The 18649-nt window shown below is 38.7% G+C and overlaps 1 protein-coding gene across 28 annotated transcripts in view, besides 1 other annotated feature; it reads left to right on the top strand.

The window, feature by feature from the left end:
• The window catches only part of PPARGC1A (PPARG coactivator 1 alpha), a 680885-nt gene that overhangs the window by 606666 nt on the left and 55570 nt on the right, over window positions 1-18649 (top strand). The window lies entirely within an intron of this gene.
• Window positions 13604-13773: an enhancer, noted in NCBI's record as "experimental_77881 CRE fragment used in MPRA reporter constructs". NCBI's record gives its function as "activates a minimal promoter by MPRAs in K562 erythroleukemia cells, with activity observed for the non-introgressed 4:23854175 variant allele {active_cell/tissue: K562}" and the evidence as "EXISTENCE:reporter gene assay evidence [ECO:0000049][PMID:34662402]".

Genomic DNA, 18649 nt, shown 5'->3' with positions numbered 1-18649 from the left:
AAGGCGAGCTGTACCATAGCAAATGAAAGTTTTCTTAAAGCTTTCTCCTCAGTGACTTTGCAGTGTGTAATTTAAAAGCAGAAAGCAAAGAAAATGCAGTTTTAAAACACTAGGCTGGCTATTCCTGGTATCTTTCTTTCTTACATATTCACAACTCTTTGTGAGCCTATTGCTCTGTCAATTCTTGTCTGTCTGTCTCTATATAGTGTATACAAACAACTTCATCAACTATTATTCACCACCTTCTAAGTGCACATGTACATGTGTGCGTGTGTGTGTGTGTGTGTAGGAATAAATGTGGGCTGTCTCAGTTTAAGCCATATAACTGCATGTGTAGATTACAACACTTAACAATATACTAGTTTCCACTCATTTCATCAGAAACCATGCTGCTGATCATCAAAGTTTAAGACTGTTCTCAGGTTGACCAGTTTACCTACATTCTGAAGCCTGCATTTGCCAATTTAGTGTGAAATAGATTTCAGCCGCAGATGCTACCTGTGAGGCAATTAATCGCCAGATATTTCTTGAGTTCATATTATTATGTGCAAGGTGTTATGCCAGGTGCGGTAAGAGGTGGAAAGGTGTCTAACACAAGGCCTCAGTCCTCAAGGAGACTTGTCACTGAACTGCAGAAATGAGATACCCATGTTGATAGAATGCCACCCAAGGAAATTTTAAGACATTTATAGAGTCCCTACTGTGTCCCAGACACCATGCATGGGTCTTCTCTCTTAATAGATCTGATTCTACCTGAATTACCAGCCTTCTCATAAACATTTTATTGGGGCCGTGCTAAGTGTCAATCACTACCCTTGGTTATGTGTGATTTCTGTCTTCCCACAGATGAGGAACTTAGGACTTAGTATTTAACCAGAACTCAGATTTCCTGGTTCTTACTGCTTCTCCTCAGTGTCAGAGAAGAAATGGGTATTTTCTATCAGGAATCCTCAGAAACGCTGGCCAGTCACATTGCCATGTTCAAGGATATATTTGCTTGACTGAGGTGGTCCATTGATGGTTGAAGGATCAAGCTGTGACTCTTTCTTTTCTTTTGGAGGCAGTCTCACTCTGTTGCCCACACTGGAGTGCAGTGGTATGATCTTGGTTCACTACAACCTCCACCTCCCAGGTTCAAGTGATTCTCCTGCCTCAGCCTCCCGAGTAGCTGGGATTACAGGCGAGCACTACCATGCCCAGCAAATTTTTTGTGTTTTTAGTGGAGATGGGGTCTCACCATGTTGCCCAGGCTGGTCTCAAACTCCTGAGCTCAGGCAATTCACCCACCTTGGCCTCCCAAAGTGCTAGGGTTACAGGCGTGAGCAACCGTGCCTGGCCAGTGGTGCCTCTTTTTTGCAGAGAACTGCTGGTTGCAATTGCAACTGCCGTCTGCTGTCAATGAGGTCTTTGGTGCTTTGCAAGCTTGCTGCTGATCTTTAGTCCCCTTTAAGACGGGCTGTTAATCTTTAGCACAAGGCTGACTCTGCAATACAGCACACACCAGGTTGCCTAACTTCTTGTTTATGTGCTCCCAGGGATCAGAAACCAGTTTGCTGTTTCCCCCTAAAACCACAAGCCTTGGGGTCATTGTCTCTATCTGTCCTTTGTTCTCCATGTACAGTCTGCTGCGAAAGACTTTCCTCTTGTTCTTGAGTGCATGTTCACCATCTTCCTCCATCATTTCCTTTGAACCCTCAGTAACTCATACTTAGGTGATTTAGCCTTCCTCTCCCCTGCCAGGGCTGGTTGCTGCTACTCCTGAAGGTATACTACCCCACACATACCATACTTGATTGTTAAACCAAACATTATTTTTCAGCATCTGCTGTGTACCTAGAATTTTGCCGGAAACCATGATAATTACAGACCAAGTATATGGGCTTGGGATTCCCTTCCTTTGGGGATGCCCAGCTGTATAAGGAGGCAAGACTTACCCGGGTGACACAATCAGACAATGGGTAAAATGTAGATAGTAAAATGTGGACAAAGCCCTGTTCTAGGCACCATATAAATAAAAGAGACAATGAATTAGCCCCTGCCTTCAGTGTCCTTAAAAACTAAGGAAACATGTGAGCATTGGCCTGATATTAACAAACTACTCTAAGAATTTTAGAGGTGGGAAGAGATCTGTGAAACCTATGAGTGAAGAGGGAAGCTAATGTGGTGGAGGTTGCCTTTGAAATAGATCTTCAAGGCTGGGTCCAGTGACTCACACCTGTAATCCCAGCACTTTGGGAGGCTGAGGCAGGTGGATCACCTGAGGTCAAGAGTTCGAGACCAGTCTGGCCAACCTAGAGAAACCCTGTCTGCACTAAAAATACAAAAATTAGCCAGGCGTGATGGCACGCGCCCATAATCCCAGCTACTGGGAAAGCTGAGGCAGGAGAATCACTTGAACCTGGGAGGCAGAGGTTGCAGTGAGCTGAGATTGCGCCACTGCACTCCAGCCTGGGTGACAGAGCTAAACTCTGTCTCAAAAAACAACAACAAAAAAGATACAGATCTTCAAGGTGTAGAGAGATTTCCATGGACGGAGAGGAAACGTGGGCATTTTAGACGTCGGCTTTCATCTCATTATTATTTTAACACATATTTATCACCTACTATGTGCACGGATTTATGCTAGATGTTGGAATAAAAAACTGAACAGGATAGAGACAATGCTATGAGCAACACAGTAGTGGTGAGGAAAGACCAAGTGATGACTGGGGACTCATCTAATAGAGCAGCAGAGAAAGTAGATACAAGTGAATGGGATCTTGGAATTGTACTAAATTAACATGAGGGGAGATTTCATCTAGCATGCTCATTTCACAATGGAGAAACTGAGGCCCAGGCATGTGAAGTGACTTGCATAAAGAATATCAAGGTTAAGTCAGGAGGAGCAGAAAAAAAGACAATATGGGGTTTGTTAGACACCAGGGACTCTTAAAAGTTATCTGGTGGCATCAGCGAAGAAAGGTTATCTTAGAGCTTGCAACCAGGGGCCTGGTGAGGAAGCTGTTGAGGTTTTCAGGCTTGAGGTCATAGAGCTTGAATTAGGGGGTGATGGTGACAATGAAAGGAAGGAATGCATATGGCAGACTTCCCGAAGGAAGGATCAATAAAGATTGTTGTCATATTAAGTGATAGGTTGGATGTTGTGGTGAAAAAAGGGAGGAAAAATGGCTGTGGTTTCAACCTTGGGTGATTTGGAGAATTTGGGCTTGGTTAACAAAAATGAGAGAATGAGAAGAGGACATGTTTCAGGGAAGGCGCAGAGAGGAATGTGATGCGCAGATTGTAAAGCAGGTGGGGCGGCTGCTATTGGAAGGAAGTCCATGAACAATATGCGACGATGGAGCTCTGGAGAAGTCATGGAGTGCTTGATAAGGAGGGGTGTCTTCAAGAACATTGTTTATTTGGCAAATAAACTGGAGGAAAGATTTAAGGGATCCCCTTTTGCCCCACATAGTAAAGATTTTTCTCTTGCTTTGAGTTTGATAATTCGCCAGGCTTCTTCTTGCCAATAATAATAATACTACAGTAGCTTTGGGCTTGCCCAGCACTGGACTCAACATCTTAAGACAATGTTAAAAACATAGTTTTACAGAGTTTAATTAAAAAAATAAAAACTAGTCTTATCTAATTCTCATAATCACCATGATGGGTTGAAAGTGTTACCTCATTTTACAGTTTGGAAAGTGAGGCTTAAATAAGTAACTTGCCCAGGGCCAAGTTACAGAAAGTAACCAGAAGAACTAATATTACCTAACTCCAACAGTCAAATTCGTAATCATTCCCTTACACTGCTTCCCAATTAATACCTCTATTGCCAGGCACTACGCTTCTCATCCCCTCCTACTCCCAGCTTCTTTCAAATTTTCCAAATGCCTGGAATTATTTCTGTCTTCTTGTTTGCAATTTTCTCAAATTTTAAAATCACAGGAACCTCTCAAATTCAGGAAGTGTTCCCTGATTAATTCCACCTCTACCTAAACATCTAGCAGAGACTTGACCTGACTTTGTCCAAGTAGATTTTGTATTATTTAGTGGAGAGATCAGCATGAATCTGTTCAGCCACAGACTGGTCAACAGATCAGTTCATGCCCTACTGACCACAGAGCTGTAGACACTTCCATTTGCAGAGGCTTGTACTTAAAAGCATATATTAGAATTGTGAAACTGGGCACTGTTTGTGACATTCTTCATCCTCACTGTGTATGTGGTTGATACTCGTTGACTGATTGACTAAGATTTTTGCTGGCATTTGGTTGAGAAGGAAGGCAATTACCAAGTATTGATAATGCATCTTAAACCTAGCTTTAAAGTCTTTTATTGAACTCTTGGGCATGTCTTCATACTAAATTCAGTAGAATATGCCTGTTAGATAAGTCTCCTGAGAGACAACTTTAGTGAGGAATATAACTCTTTTTAAAATGCAATGGAATATATGTATATTTCCCCAAATAAACAATTTCTTACAAATTGCACGTAGCTGTGATCATTCCCCTTCCTTTAGTGGGCAGCAAATCATGTTGCATTTGTGTTATGCATTTTTTCAGAAATATTTTGCCTTTTTTTTGTTTCTGGACCAAGGAGTCAAACCATGCCCCATTCATCTTTTTCTTATATACAATTCCTTGCACATAATAGGAGCTCAGTAAATATGTAACACTGCATGGTATTCTCTCACCTACATTATAAGCAGGGATAATGGCTTTTATTTCTTTTGGTTCCTGTGTTCTCCTAGCAACTCCCTGGTTTCTAGTTCAACATTATGTCCATAAAAGGTACTCAGTAGCTGGTGAATGAAGGAATGAATGAATGACATTTAACTTGTGATCATCTAAACCATTACTAAACCAAATTGGAAATATTTTTAGGGGACTGGGAAAATTACCTGGGTAACATGAGCTGTTGAGCAGCTTCTGGGCTGGGTCTGGTGACTGTATCAAAATCTTCAGATACGTCAGTAATTCCACTTCAGCATGTTCATTCTTTGTTTCGAATAATACAGGTTTTTGTGCATTGATGTTTAAGATAAAGTGGTGCCTATTTTGCATTTCTAGTTATGTTTACAAAACAGTGTTTTATTGCTGTCTAAACATGAGAGTGCTCTCAACCACTCCCACTGCAGCACATTGAGAAAGGGCTGTTAGGAGTCTTTGCCCTTAGTTTGAAATATGTTGTACTTAGAGGTCGTAGTGTTCTGGTTTGGGTAGCAAATTATTGATCAGGGTATTATGGTAACAGCTGTACTGCTGATTGGATGAAGATAAATATCCAAGCATGCAACTGGTATTACCTGACATTATTGTTTTTCCTGGGAGCCTAGTCATCCCAAGGGGGTTTTATAAGAATGGTCAGAAGGTAAATATTACCAAGAGTCTAGTAGGCAGAGTGCAAGCCAGTGGTACCCAATTCTCTCCATTCACCACTATTTGAATTCTGGCCCTTGTGTTTTCCTGCATTCATCTTTTGACTCTTTATTTAGATTTCCTTGACTTTTTAGAATTTTTCTTTTGTTCCTTGCTTCTTTGGCTTCTTGCTGAGGTATTTATTTTTTGAAGGATTATCAGGAAACAATAGCATTGCTTGTAATCTCTCTGCCATTGAGTTTAGTGGTGCTTCCTCTGCTGTTATCAGAGACTTATTTTAAATAGCATTATTTGTTACTGTATATATTTAAGATATAGAACATTATGTTTTGATTTACAAACACATAGTGATGATTACCGTAGCCAAGCAAATGAACACATCCATCACCTCACATAGTTACTTTTTTTTGTAGTAAGAGCACCTAAAATCTACTCTCAGAATCCAGTACAATATTACTAACCATAGTCCTCATGTGGTACATTAGATCTCTAGACATATCCATCCCACATAATTGCAATTTGTACACTTTGACCTTTATCTTTCCATACCTTCCCCTCCCCCCACCCCTGGTAACCATCATTCTACTCGTTTATTTTTTGTTTTTAAGGTAGGGTGTCTCTTGCTCTGTTGCCTGGGCTGGGTGCAGTGATGTGATCATTGCTTACTGCAGCCTCAAACTCCTGGGCTCAAGCAGTCCTCCCATCTCAGCCTTCCATATAGCTAGGACTACAGGTGCGTGCCACCACACTTGGCTAATTTTTAAATTTTTTGTAAAGACAAGGTCTTACTATGTTGGCCAGGCTGCTGTTGAACTCCTGGCCTCAATCAATCCTCCCATGTAGAGTTCCCAAAGCACTGAGATTGTAGGGTTGAGCTACTATGCCCCACCTTCTACTCAAAGATTTCTTAATTGTCTAACTCAAAAGCCCTTTTTCAGGTCCCCATTCTTCTTGAATTTTCTGTGCTACTTGAATATTCCTTATTGACCAGGCTACATGAAAATTCTTTCTCTTTTTTGGTGTTATTTTATTTTATTTTATTTTATTTTATTTTATTTTATTTTATTTTATTTTATTTTATTTTATTTTATTTTATTTTGAGACGGTGTCTTGCACTCTCTCCCAGGCTGGAGTGCAGTGGTGCCATCTCGGCTCACTGCAAGCTCCACCTCCCAGGTTCCTGCCATTGTCTTGCCTCAGCCTCCCGAGTAGCTGGGATTACAGGCGCCCGCCACCACGCTGGGCTAATTTTTTGTATTTTTACTAGAAACGAGGTTTCACTGTGTTAGCCAGGATGGTCTCGATCTCCTGACCTTGTGATCCACCCACCTCGACCTCCCAAAGTACTGGGATTACAGGCGTGAGCCACCGTGGTGTTACATTTTAAATATTTTGAATTTTTGTTAATGTTCTTCTTTGCAGTCTCCCAATTTCCTTCCCTCTTCTTTGAATACATCTTCTCTCCTTCCTTTGCTGGAAGACCCTAAATGTACCTGTACCTTCCCCTTACACTTTCAGCATTCAGGCCAACTAGAGATAATTGGACAAGCCAAAGATCATGTCTGACATGGCTCGCTAGTGGCTCTGTGTCTGAATGGGTTGGCATCATCTTTAAGAATCTTGTCTTGGCCTAACTTGGGACTGACATTTTAAGCATTAAAACTCTTCACTAATTAACAGAGGCAACCTAAAGAATAGTTTTTGAAATGATGCTTGAGTGTTCTCTTACTACATTCCCTGGGAATATTCCCTGGAAAGCCCACAGAGTTGATAATGTATTTGAATCATGTACTGGAATGGGCTAGTATTAAAAGTTATTACAATACTATTTTAATTTATATTTATAAACTTATTTATTTGTATTATATAAATTTATATTTACATACTTTAATTTATGTTTATATTTAATTTATTCTACAAAATATAAATATAAATTTACACTTTAAATCTATATAATTTATATTTATATAAGTATATATTTATATACCTTAATTTGTATTTATATTTCAACTCAGCCAGTCCATAAAACTTGTAGTTATTTTTCCTGTCTTTCTAAAAAGGCTAAAAGGCAAATGTTCTGCAGTATGGAACTGAGTCTCCGAGTTAAGAGGTTTGCCAGGTAATTGCTAGCAATGACAAAGGTGAGATTTGACTGTCAATTTTCTACCTTTCTGAACATTAGACAGACTTCCAATATTCACATATCATCTCTATGTGGCATTTTCCAGGACTTTCTTAGGTCTTCAAAAACCAAATGAGGGACATATCTCTACTTCACAATGAGGAAACCAGGACTTAAAGGGGCTTGCCCAAATTCCCTGAGGTCAGCAACCTTCTCTTCTCTTTGTATCCCAAGAACCTAAAGGCAATGGTAGCAAGATGGTTAGGAGACTGGGCCCTGTAGTCAGACATGCCTGCCTTTCAAATCTTAGCTCTACCACTGACTTGCAGTAGGACCATGATTATCTTTTTTCTCCTTTTGTAAAATAGTGCCTGCCTCAGGGTTATTTATTCATTCAGCAAACATTTACTGATCACCTATCATGTGTGAAAATGTTCTAGGAATATAGTAGTGAACCAGGGAGTAAAAAAAATCCTGCCCTCCTGGAGCTTATGTTCTAGTTGGTTGTTGTTAAAATTAAATGAGACAATGCATTGAAAATGTCCTGTATAGTGCCTGGAATAGAGGGGGTATGCATTTTGACAGAATTAAGACAAAGTCTACAAACTCCTGGAAGTAATAGCTTTTGCCTTTCCTTGAATCTATAAAGATAGCAAATGTAATATTAATAAGTCCTTTACTTTTCCAAGAACCATTTCATTCCACGGAAAGCCATAGTAGTATTTAGCCATAGTAGTTGTTTTTATAATTTAGCCATAGTAGTTGTTTTTATAATTTAGAGTTCTTTGGTTGCAAACAATGGAATAGAAAACAAAGAATCAACTCTAGCTTCCTCAAGCAGAAAGGCAGAAGGATATGTATGGCTGATGGAATTGATGAGAGGGTGTTGAACTAGGCTTAGTACCTAAAAGACCTGGAGCCTGGGAACTAAACTGCAAGAGGAGTCTCATCACGATTCAAATGTCAATAGGTTTTCCCTATTCTGTGCTAGCCCTGGAGTGGTGAGAATAGTGTGAGGCTTTTGCTTACTGGCTCTCGGTGTGTATCCAGTCAAGGAGGGATAATTCTGTGAAAGGAAAGTGTGGTGCATTTACAAATCTACTGGGCAGTCAAGAAACAACCAGTGACAGTTCTGAGGTCTTAAAGCTGGATGAGTTATACTGTCAGCACAAAGTGTTTGACATTAAGTAAAAGAATGGGGTTCTTGTTCCCAACTAAACAGTGGGAATTCTACCACCCAGTGGCTATCCTCTGAAATTCCATGAATTGAAACTAGTGCTTATGATTTAGTTAATATACATTTATCTGTATGCATATGCAGATAAATGTATATTTATCTATTTAGTACATAAAATCTATTTAGTACGTGCGTGTGTGTGTGTGTCACACACACACACGCACATACTAAATAGATTTTATGAAACTTCATCCCTGGCTTTATTTGCCAAAGGCGAGTCCTCCATCTTGTGGTTTCTGCATCTCTTTGGCATTTGTCACTATGCACTTGTTGCCTTTTATATTGTCACAGGAATCCCAGAAACACCTATAGAACATCAGTGATGAGCATCTTCTGTGAGTCCAGTGGTGCACTGGCTCTGGGAATATGGAGAGACCTGTTACATTACCTTCTATAATTACATGTATTTGCTATTCCTGAGAAATCATTTGTGTGTCTCTGCCAGGAAACATTAGCCTTTCCATTTTTTAAGTTTTCAAATAATATATGTAGAAATAATATAAGGAAAGTACATAGTTCAATGCTTGCACTTAATTGATAGTCAATAAATGGCAATTTGTTGACATTCCAATACCTTGAACTTCCTGGATAGCTCTGTAAAACGGAAAGTGTCCTTGGGAACAAAACTGCACAAGCATGCTGGTCAAGATTCAAATTCCAGGGAGAAGGTGTTCAACAGCCTGCCCCTGGGCTCTGTGCCAGCCTCTCGGTGATGAAGGGAGAGTCCGGCTTCTGTTATTGGCTCCCCAGTATGTATTCAATGTGTACCTTTAATCAAAGGTAAATTCCATGAGGGAGGGGCCATGCCTGTTTTATAGGCCACTGTATCTTGCATGTAGCAGTTTCTAGCACATGATATGCACCCAAGAAACATTTGTTGGAGAAATGACCAAATTGGGATTCTCTCTACAGAGGCTAAAGGGAAATGACTAAGCTACTTGCTGAGTGGCTATCATTAGTGCATAATTTTCAAAAGCAATCATAGAATGGGCAAGACGTTTAATCTCTGTCATGAAATGTAACCTTTAGAGGGAAGACAAGCAATCACAATGTGACTTCTCCGAGTGTCCTGCAGCTTTGAGCATGGCCCGGGCCTCTCTCTGATGGGGCTGATGAAAGCCAACGAACAAAGGCATTTTGTATGTTAAAACAAACCACATTTAGTCAACAGTGTTTGCAATGACTAATCCCTGGTAAGAAAACACCAAGAAGTGGCCTACACCTCAAAAAATATAAGCACAGAGAATTCTTTCTTGGAATACTGGCTGCAAAAGTTCAGCGTTTGGCATTTGCAATGATTGCTGTTTGATTTTCTTTATGGTTGTGTTGGCACATTCTGGAAAGTCAGGAAGCTCAAGTATATACTGTGGGAGCTCTATGGGGTGGGAATAGGAGATATACAAGCTTTGTTTTGTATTATAACTATTGCAACACATTTCCAAATGTCACTTTTTGTCCATGGTGGGAGAACCTGGGGATAGTTCAATGTCAGATGGTTTCAAGTGACATAACACTAGTGCAGTAATTTATTTATTCAATTATTGTTTATTAAGTGTCTACTATATGTTGAGTCTGGTGACACTTTGGTTTTTCTGTGTTTAAATTTTATTGTTTCATTCTGATGTAGCACATCCCTTCCTGCATCTCTTTGCCAGCCTAATTCCTTATAACAATCCAGACTTCCCCTCCTACATCACTTCTCCCAAACCACCAACACCTGGCACCCTACCACAGCTTAGGTGCCTCTGATGTGGGCCCTGTAGAAGCTTTACATTCTCCCAGGATTTCTCAATCTGCCTGTTTCTTATTTGTCCTGTCTCTCCCATGGGATGAGAAGCTATTTAAGGGTCTGGGCTGTGGTTGTCACTAACCCAGTATCATTACTTAACTCAGTGTCTGAAATATAGTCGGTGCTTATTAAGCATATATTAAATGCATGCAGAATATGGAATTAAATAAACCTGAAATTATTTTTTGGAGTACATTATACAATGCACAAGAGTAGGCATTTTTAGAAGCATCGAGCATAGTAGGTCCTTGCTTGTCCCAAGAGAGCGTTCAGTTAGCTAAGTAATCCTCATATATTTGACAAATGCTTTCTGAATGCCAATTATGTTCCAGTTTACCATCTATTTGGAAGTAAAGATAAGTATTTTAAAATATAACTAACATTAAAAGTCTTGAGTGGTAAAAGCCAGATTCAAATAAGACAGTGAAGGGTCAGGGGTTGCATGGGTATATTAGTCCAGTCTCACTCTGCTGCTAAAGACATACCTGAGACTGGGTGATTTACAAAGAAAAAGAGGTTTAATGGACTCACAGCTCCATATGGCTGGGGAGGCCTCACAATTGTGGCAGGAGGTGAAAGGCACATCCTACATGGCAGCAGACAAGATAGAAAATGAGAGCCAAGTGAAAGGGGTTTCCCCTTATAAAACCATCGATCTCATGAGACTTACTCACTACCATGAGAACAGTATCGGGGAGTGCGCCCCCACGATTCAGTTATGTCCCACTGGGTTCCTCCTACACACGTGGGAATTATAGGAGCTACAATTCAAGATGAGATTTGGATGGAGACACAGCCAAATCATATCAGTGGGTGAGGATATCACTTAGGCTGGTAAAGTATTTCAACCTAGTTTATATTGGAAACAGGCCTTTCTTTCCCTTCCTTCCCCTTTTTTTCTTTATAGCTTCTCATTCATCCATCTGGGATTTACCCGGTGTCTACCATATTCCAAGCATCGTATTAGATACTTGGAATATAAAAATGAATGACACACTCCAACCTCAGGAAATACACAGCAGTAAAAAAAAATTTTAAAGGTGAATCTTGCCTTTGAACCAAACAGTTTAGTACAGTGTTTATTTTCAGTATAAAAACTCATATTTGTGGGACAAGGCCATCTTCATTTATATAGTTCTTATTCCTTCTCTCAAATTATGTTTCTTGGCCAAGTCTGTGGAACTGTTGGACTGTATGGCCTCTCAGTCAAGCCAGACACAGCTGAGAGGCCATCGGAAACTTGTAGGAATTTCCGGTAATTGGATAGGACCATAATCAAATTTTATATGAAGTCTGGATGTGCTGATGATGTGCCTTCATTTCCCAGGTCAGAGGGAAAATCTGGATGCCTTAATACACCCAAAGGTTAGGAGAGGCCTTTTCTGAAATTGTTTTCAAAGGGATTTCCATGACCAAAATAACATAACTATGCTAAAAATTCTGTGACCTGATAAGAAATCCCTTGCCTGGATTCCTGGCAACATTACTTAAAACTAAAAATGATTCTCTCTTCTCAGAACTAACACTCAGTATCGGACTGACTTATCTGACACTTGTCATGTACACATGGCCTTGTGTCATTAGTTGTATTTTCACTGCTCCTGTCTCACTCCCTTGACTAGATTATAAACTCTTTGAGGCTAATAAAAATAATACAGACAATAGCTAATATTTATTGAGGGTTTCTATGTGCCAGGCAGTATTCTAAGCACTTTATACGTTTCATTTAATTTTTACAACAACCTGTGAGGCAGGTATTTTATCATTATCTTCCCTGTGTATGGGGAACTGGTCCCAGACAAGTTCAGTAGCTTGCCCTAGGTCCCCAATCCTAGTAATTGACAGAGCTAGGATTCATGCCCAGGCAGTCTGACTGTAGAACCTGTACCCTTGTTTACTTTATTGTTTGTCTTCTCTAGATGTCTTGTGCTTTACTACATGCTGACTTGCATGTGGAAGATACTCCAGAAATTAAATCGTTGTTTTATCAGATAGTTTTCTAAATGTCTCATAATCCTATCAAGTTTCTGTCTATCCTTCTGGGTAGGAGATATAAGGCAGTTGTTATTGTCTTAATATTCTTGGTGAGAGTATAAAGGATAAGGGTTTATTTCAGGTACAGCAAAGAATTTTCTACAGAAATCCCTCCTCATTATCACCACTGAAAATTCACAGTGCCTAAGTGCTTATCAGGTTCAAATATGATGGAAACCTGTCCCATCTCCAAATTTGAGATTCCTCTTGTACACATCTAGGACATTTGAGTACCTCCTCAAAATGTGTCTCATTGATCTGAGGTAACATAGCAGATGTAACTTAGGAAGTCTTTATTTTCATTTCTTTAACAAGTAATAGTCCTTTGGACCATTGTAATAGAACACATAAAGTATAATGACCCTAAGTTAATGTTGTTTTATGCTTTATTTTCTGTACCATGTTTCTATCTTACATGTCTCTCACTTTTCCCCCTTTAAAAGATGTTCTAGGGAGTGCCTGCCACTAAAAACTAACCCCTTTCTGTACTTTCCTTTAATCGAACTATGAAATTTTGTGTATTTAAAAATTTTGATTGTATTTTGCTTTCTATAATGAAAACCTTCTTCTAATATAGAAAACCAGTATCCTAAATGCTAAATGCTTAATTAAAAAAATTCTTTTACAAATTTCTTATATAAAAAGGAAAACCTGTGAAAGGAAATCTCTCAGCTCCAGAATCAAATTAACAAATAATTTTGATTGGAATTATTTCATGCAGACCATCCTGTTAACCTGCAAAAGACAAAGTGCATTATAGTTTTTTTTTAGGGCAGTGATGATGTAGCTGGAAGTTGAAATAATTGGTGTACAAATACATGTGCAAACACGCACACATGCATATGCCTGTCTGGGTCATGTGTCTTGTACATATCTATTTCCCTAAAGGCTGATAAAAATGTGCTCACGAAAAGATAAAAACTAGGCTTTATATGGTAAGTATAAAACATGGCATGATGCTGTATAATACTTTAAAAGAGTTATGTTGGTGTGCTTAACCAATATTTCATGGGAGAAGAGAACTCGAATAGGATCTTAAGCTTTAGGATTTCTATGAAGAAAAAAAAACGGAGAAAACTATTTTATAGTGAAGATACCAAAATGTGGAGGTAGAAAAATGGGGGAGGGTGGATTTTTAAAACGACAATCAGAGGAGAGTGACTCCAGTGCTCATGGGAGGTAGGCAGGAAAGAGAATGAGTGATGTGGCCTTGATGGGGAGCAAGTACAATGAAGACTGCCATGAAAATTCTATGTCAGGGCTGTAGGGGTGGAGACAGTGGAAATCTGAGGAGAGCAGCCTCTCTGTAAAGTGATCAGCTCCTCCTCAAATCCCAGCTTCTCTAGATCTTCAGATTTATTTTTTAAAAGCAGAAATTTCAGATACAATTTGCGGTTCAATAACTGTTGTTAAGTAATCTAATAATGTTTAAAAACCTTTTGTAGGCAAAACCATGCTCACCAAATGAAACGTATGTCTGGACTGGTTCCTCCTGAAGACCTCTAGTTTGAAACTTGAGCTAGAAAGAATGAAATAATTCTACATTTTAATTCAAAATGTTGTGGTCTGCCTCCTTAGTGGGGATTAATTGTAATGGAACAGAATATTTATGCCCTGCATGATGGGGACAAGTAGAAAAATGTGCTGAATTGATGGAGAAAACTAGAACCTGGCTTCTGAAACTCTTGGTTGTGGACCAGCTTGAGCATTACCTGGACGCTTGTTAGAGATTCAGAATTTTAAGCTATACCCTAAACTTCCTGAATTAGCATCTGCATCTTAACAACATCTTCAGGTGATTCATATGCACATTAATGTTAAAGAAGCACTGGATGTAGTATACTTAATGTTCTTGTTTTAAAATAGCTTCTGTAAGACACAGCATACAGCAAAAGTTTGAAGAGAGAGCAAAATCTCAGAGAATCTTTGGTGTAACTAGTGAAACATGAGACAATAAAAAGGTTCACTCTTACTGAAGCTTGAACAGAGCAGTTAATATGGTAATGTTGATATATTTAGTAATGCGTTCACAGTGTTAAGTTTTTTGCAAGAACTGGTGTGCCAAGCACAAGACTCAACACAGGTTATGCACATATTTGGTAATCAGTAAATTACCTTAGATAGTAAGTCAGTTGTTGAATCCTGGACAACTGATAACATCATTTGCTTTCACGTGTTTTTTCAATATTGTGCTCAGCCTCAAATATAAATTGAATAGAGTGACCCTTTGATACTCTATGAAATCGACTGCATTTCCTAAGATTCTGTGGTTTCAATTACCATAAATTTTTGATATTGGGTCCATAGCCATTGCATTGTCCCAGCATAACAATATCTTATCATCTTATCATTGGTTCTGATAATACAGTCTGCATCAGCACAACATATTGTTACTAATATTGTATGTGTGTGAGCATGTGTGTGTGTATGTTCCCAGTCAGAACATCATGTCAAGTGCAGGAGCAATCTGCAGTTTACCTAGATTAAATCGAATCACTATGTGTATTGCAAAATGAGAATTATTTTTGTTCCAGTGATGAAATTGTGTTCTAGGTTGCTAGCTGGATCTTGAGTTTGTGAGATGGATAAGTCCATTAGTGGTTCCTCACTTTATTAGCAACTTAATTGTCAGAATGTAATGAAACTTCTGAACTGCAGCAACTCATTAGAAGCAATGAAACACATGACATTTTTTCTAGAATATTCAGTGAGCTACTTTTTCCCCCAAAGAGATCTTGAAAATAAAATTAACAATTAAGTTTAAATGTATACCTATAAAGGTAAAACAGTTTTGAATTCTGCCCTGAAAAATGTTCTGGATAAGTTAGGGTCACTGAAAAGAGGGGAACCAGCATTTGAATTCCTACTCAGACACATGTTTAAGTAACCTTTAATGAGTTACTTAGCTTCTTTAAACCTCAGTTTTCTCATACGTAAAAAGGTGATTTAATAGTTATTTCAAACTATCACTATGAAGATAAAAGGAAGCGGCGTGTGGAAAGGGCTTGACAGTATCCCTAGTGCACAGCAAGAGCGTATCAATGACCGCTATTGTCACTCTTTAATTTTCAACCTAGATATTTTAATTCTCCTGCCTTTGCCTTGAAATAAGTTTGATTTTATTTCTTCAAGGCCAAAGATGTAATCATTAAAGATCATGTATCCCACTGTATTTTCTACTAGAAACAAGGCTAGAAAGAAGGCTGTACTTTACTGCCATGCTTGTACTTTATAGAAATTGTTGGTGTCTACCAAAGCAGGAGTTTACTTTTAGTTCCCTGGTAGATCGTGGTTGTTTTCACTTGGCCTTTATGACAATATTACTCTGAGCACTGTCACAGAAGCTCAAAGAAAATTCTTGCTTCTCTTCTTATGCTTTATTTTAGCGACAGCTCCCAAAGATGATCTTGGCAATGTATAAGAAGCAGTACAAGCATTGCAAGTGGTGATTAAACCTTTAACTTATATTTCAAAGATAGCATTAGGTTGGTGCAAATCTAATTGCAGTTTTTGCCATTGAAAGTGATGACCAAAACCACAATTACTTTTGCACCAACCTAATTATTTCCTGAAGCCCGTAGCTCAAACAAACAGTGTGATATGAAAAGAGTATTTCATTTCCATCAAAAAGCGAAAATAAAATTATGGATAATTCCATTCTCCTTCTAACTCCCTGTTCTGATTTTTTCTTTTCTTTCTCTTCTTATTTTCATTTTTGTCTATTTTTTTCCTTCATTCAACATTTAAATAATTATACGACATTACAGACTAATGACTGTACCGTGCAGCGAGGATTCTGTAAACATCATGAGGACAGGAGCAGTGTCTGTTAGGGCCACTGCTGTGTCCTCACATGCATGAAACACCTGCCCTCCAAAAAAAAAAAAAAATTCTAAATCTACAAATAAATACAAGAAGGAATAAATGAGTAAAGCCAAATGAAACAAGACTATGACCTTCAAAGAGCTTAAATATGTATTATGGCCCCTTTTCTTTTTAAAAATATTATCCAGAATTAAAGTAAAATGCTTGCTATATTTACTAAAGGTTCTATTCTCTCTAGTCTTATTTTTATGTAAGATAAATCCATTTTTTCTTCCCTTATCATCTTCAAACACAATAAACTTTTCTTTTTCATCTGTATCCCCTGTTTATATTTGCTATGATTCAGTGGTTTTTGATTTTTTAAATGACAGTTTTGTCCTAGTTCAGCTATTCCAAATTGAAGGCAATATCTGTGAGCCTTTTTATCAGCTATGCGATAGTCAATTTATTATGTAAGTAGAAAGGCCATGTATTCAGGGCTAAAGATTGTGATATGGCTCATCTTAGGTAACAGATTAAGTTCACATGGCATACGGTTTCCTAGCGTTCCTTCTTAAGTTATGTTCTTTTATTGCCAGCATAACATTTTGAAAACAATTTTAAATAACGAACATCATTAGAGGAATAGTAGGAAATTTTTATCTGATGTATTACGGTGCTCTTTATGCTCAGTGTCTCATTTAATCCTCACCACAATTCTATGAAGCAGATGTCTCCATTTTTTTCTTTGAGACGGAGTCTCACTCTGTCGCCCAGGCTGGAGTGCAGTGGGGCAATCTCGGCTCACTGCAAGCTCTGCCTCCCGGGTTCATGCCATTCTCCTGCCTCAGCCTCCCGAGTAGCTGGGAGTACAGGCGCCCGCTACCACGCCCGGCTAAATTTTTTGTATTTTCAGTAGAGATGGGGTTTCACCGTGTTAGCCAGGATGGTCTTGATCTCCTGACCTCGTGATCTGCCCGCCTCGGCCTCCCAAAGTGCTGGGATTACAGATGTCTCCATTTTTACGTTGATAGTACTGGGATTCCAGGGCCCAGATGCCTTCCTCAAGGACACAGGCCTGTATATGACAGAATTGTAACTTGAAACCCTTTTTTTCTAAGGCTAAATCCCATAAGACTTTGAGTCTACTACTTTGGAAATATTCACAATGGGCATAATATTGATAGGAACAGCAGCAAAAAATGAGAGGTCCTGAGTTAATGTTTCAAGAATATTGAATGCTCTTCCGGGGACAAATTGAGCAGCAATTGACGCTGAAATGGCACTGAATTATTTTGCTATCAATTGCTAAAGCCTTATGTTTTCATATCGTGTGCAGATCTATTCCAGGGCCACCTCTAGCTGATAGCATCAGATCTTTCACCCCTGAAGAGATTACAGCTGGCTAACATTATCCTCACAAACAGACCTGGAAAGTTTGTCTACAACCACTGATGGGAGCTCAGGCAAAGAGGACTCTGGGAGAGGGTTAGCTCGAGGGCATCATGATTTCTCTTCTGCTTCTGTGGCTTTGCTCTAGAGTCTCAGACCAATGCTGTCATTGTTTTTATGCCGGTTGTTATAGTCTACTTGCTACTGTGAGGTGCTGTGAGGAAGAAATAAATTTAAGTCAAGTTTGTAACTATATAAGCATGGTACGAATTCAGTAAATATTGCTTGAATGATTTTATCTGAGAGGCATGAATATTTAGCACTACATTTTTATATAATGCTGCTTAACTCTTCCTTAAAGCACATAATGATCATGCTATTTTTTATGTCCTGTAACCTTATGGGACAACTATGGCAGATTTCACTTCTGCCTTTTTACAGATCAAAAAATTAAGGCCCAGGGAAGACAATTTGAAAGCAGGGCCACAAAGTTGTGTAGACCTGGGCTGACTTTGATTAATTATTTAATCACACTTTAGCTATTTCTCTTCCCATTTTCTCATGTATGGCATACACAAACACACTCTGGGGTTCTTTATTTTTATATATTTTTAAGAATAAAATGCTCATTACAGAAAACTGGAAAAAGACAAATTGACTTAAAGTCATCTGAAATCTCACCTTCTTGTAATATTTTGGGATTCATTCTTTTAGGCTTTTTCCAGTATCCATGCATAGATCATGGACTGAACAAGTGCTATTTGACAACTGTCTTGATTCGTTTCATAATATTTAATGGCTATGTTTCATTTTAACAAAGGTATACCTATATAATTGTTTTAATGGGTATCAAGCATTTCACAGTATGAGTTCCCTGGTTTTCTTTTTATCTTTAAACCCAGGTACTCATT

This window comes from Homo sapiens, chromosome 4, assembly GCF_000001405.40.
Source record: "Homo sapiens chromosome 4, GRCh38.p14 Primary Assembly".
Classification (NCBI taxonomy): Eukaryota; Metazoa; Chordata; class Mammalia; order Primates; family Hominidae; genus Homo; species Homo sapiens.
Note: the sequence above shows the minus strand (reverse complement) of the source record. Positions and strands in the feature narration are given on the sequence as shown.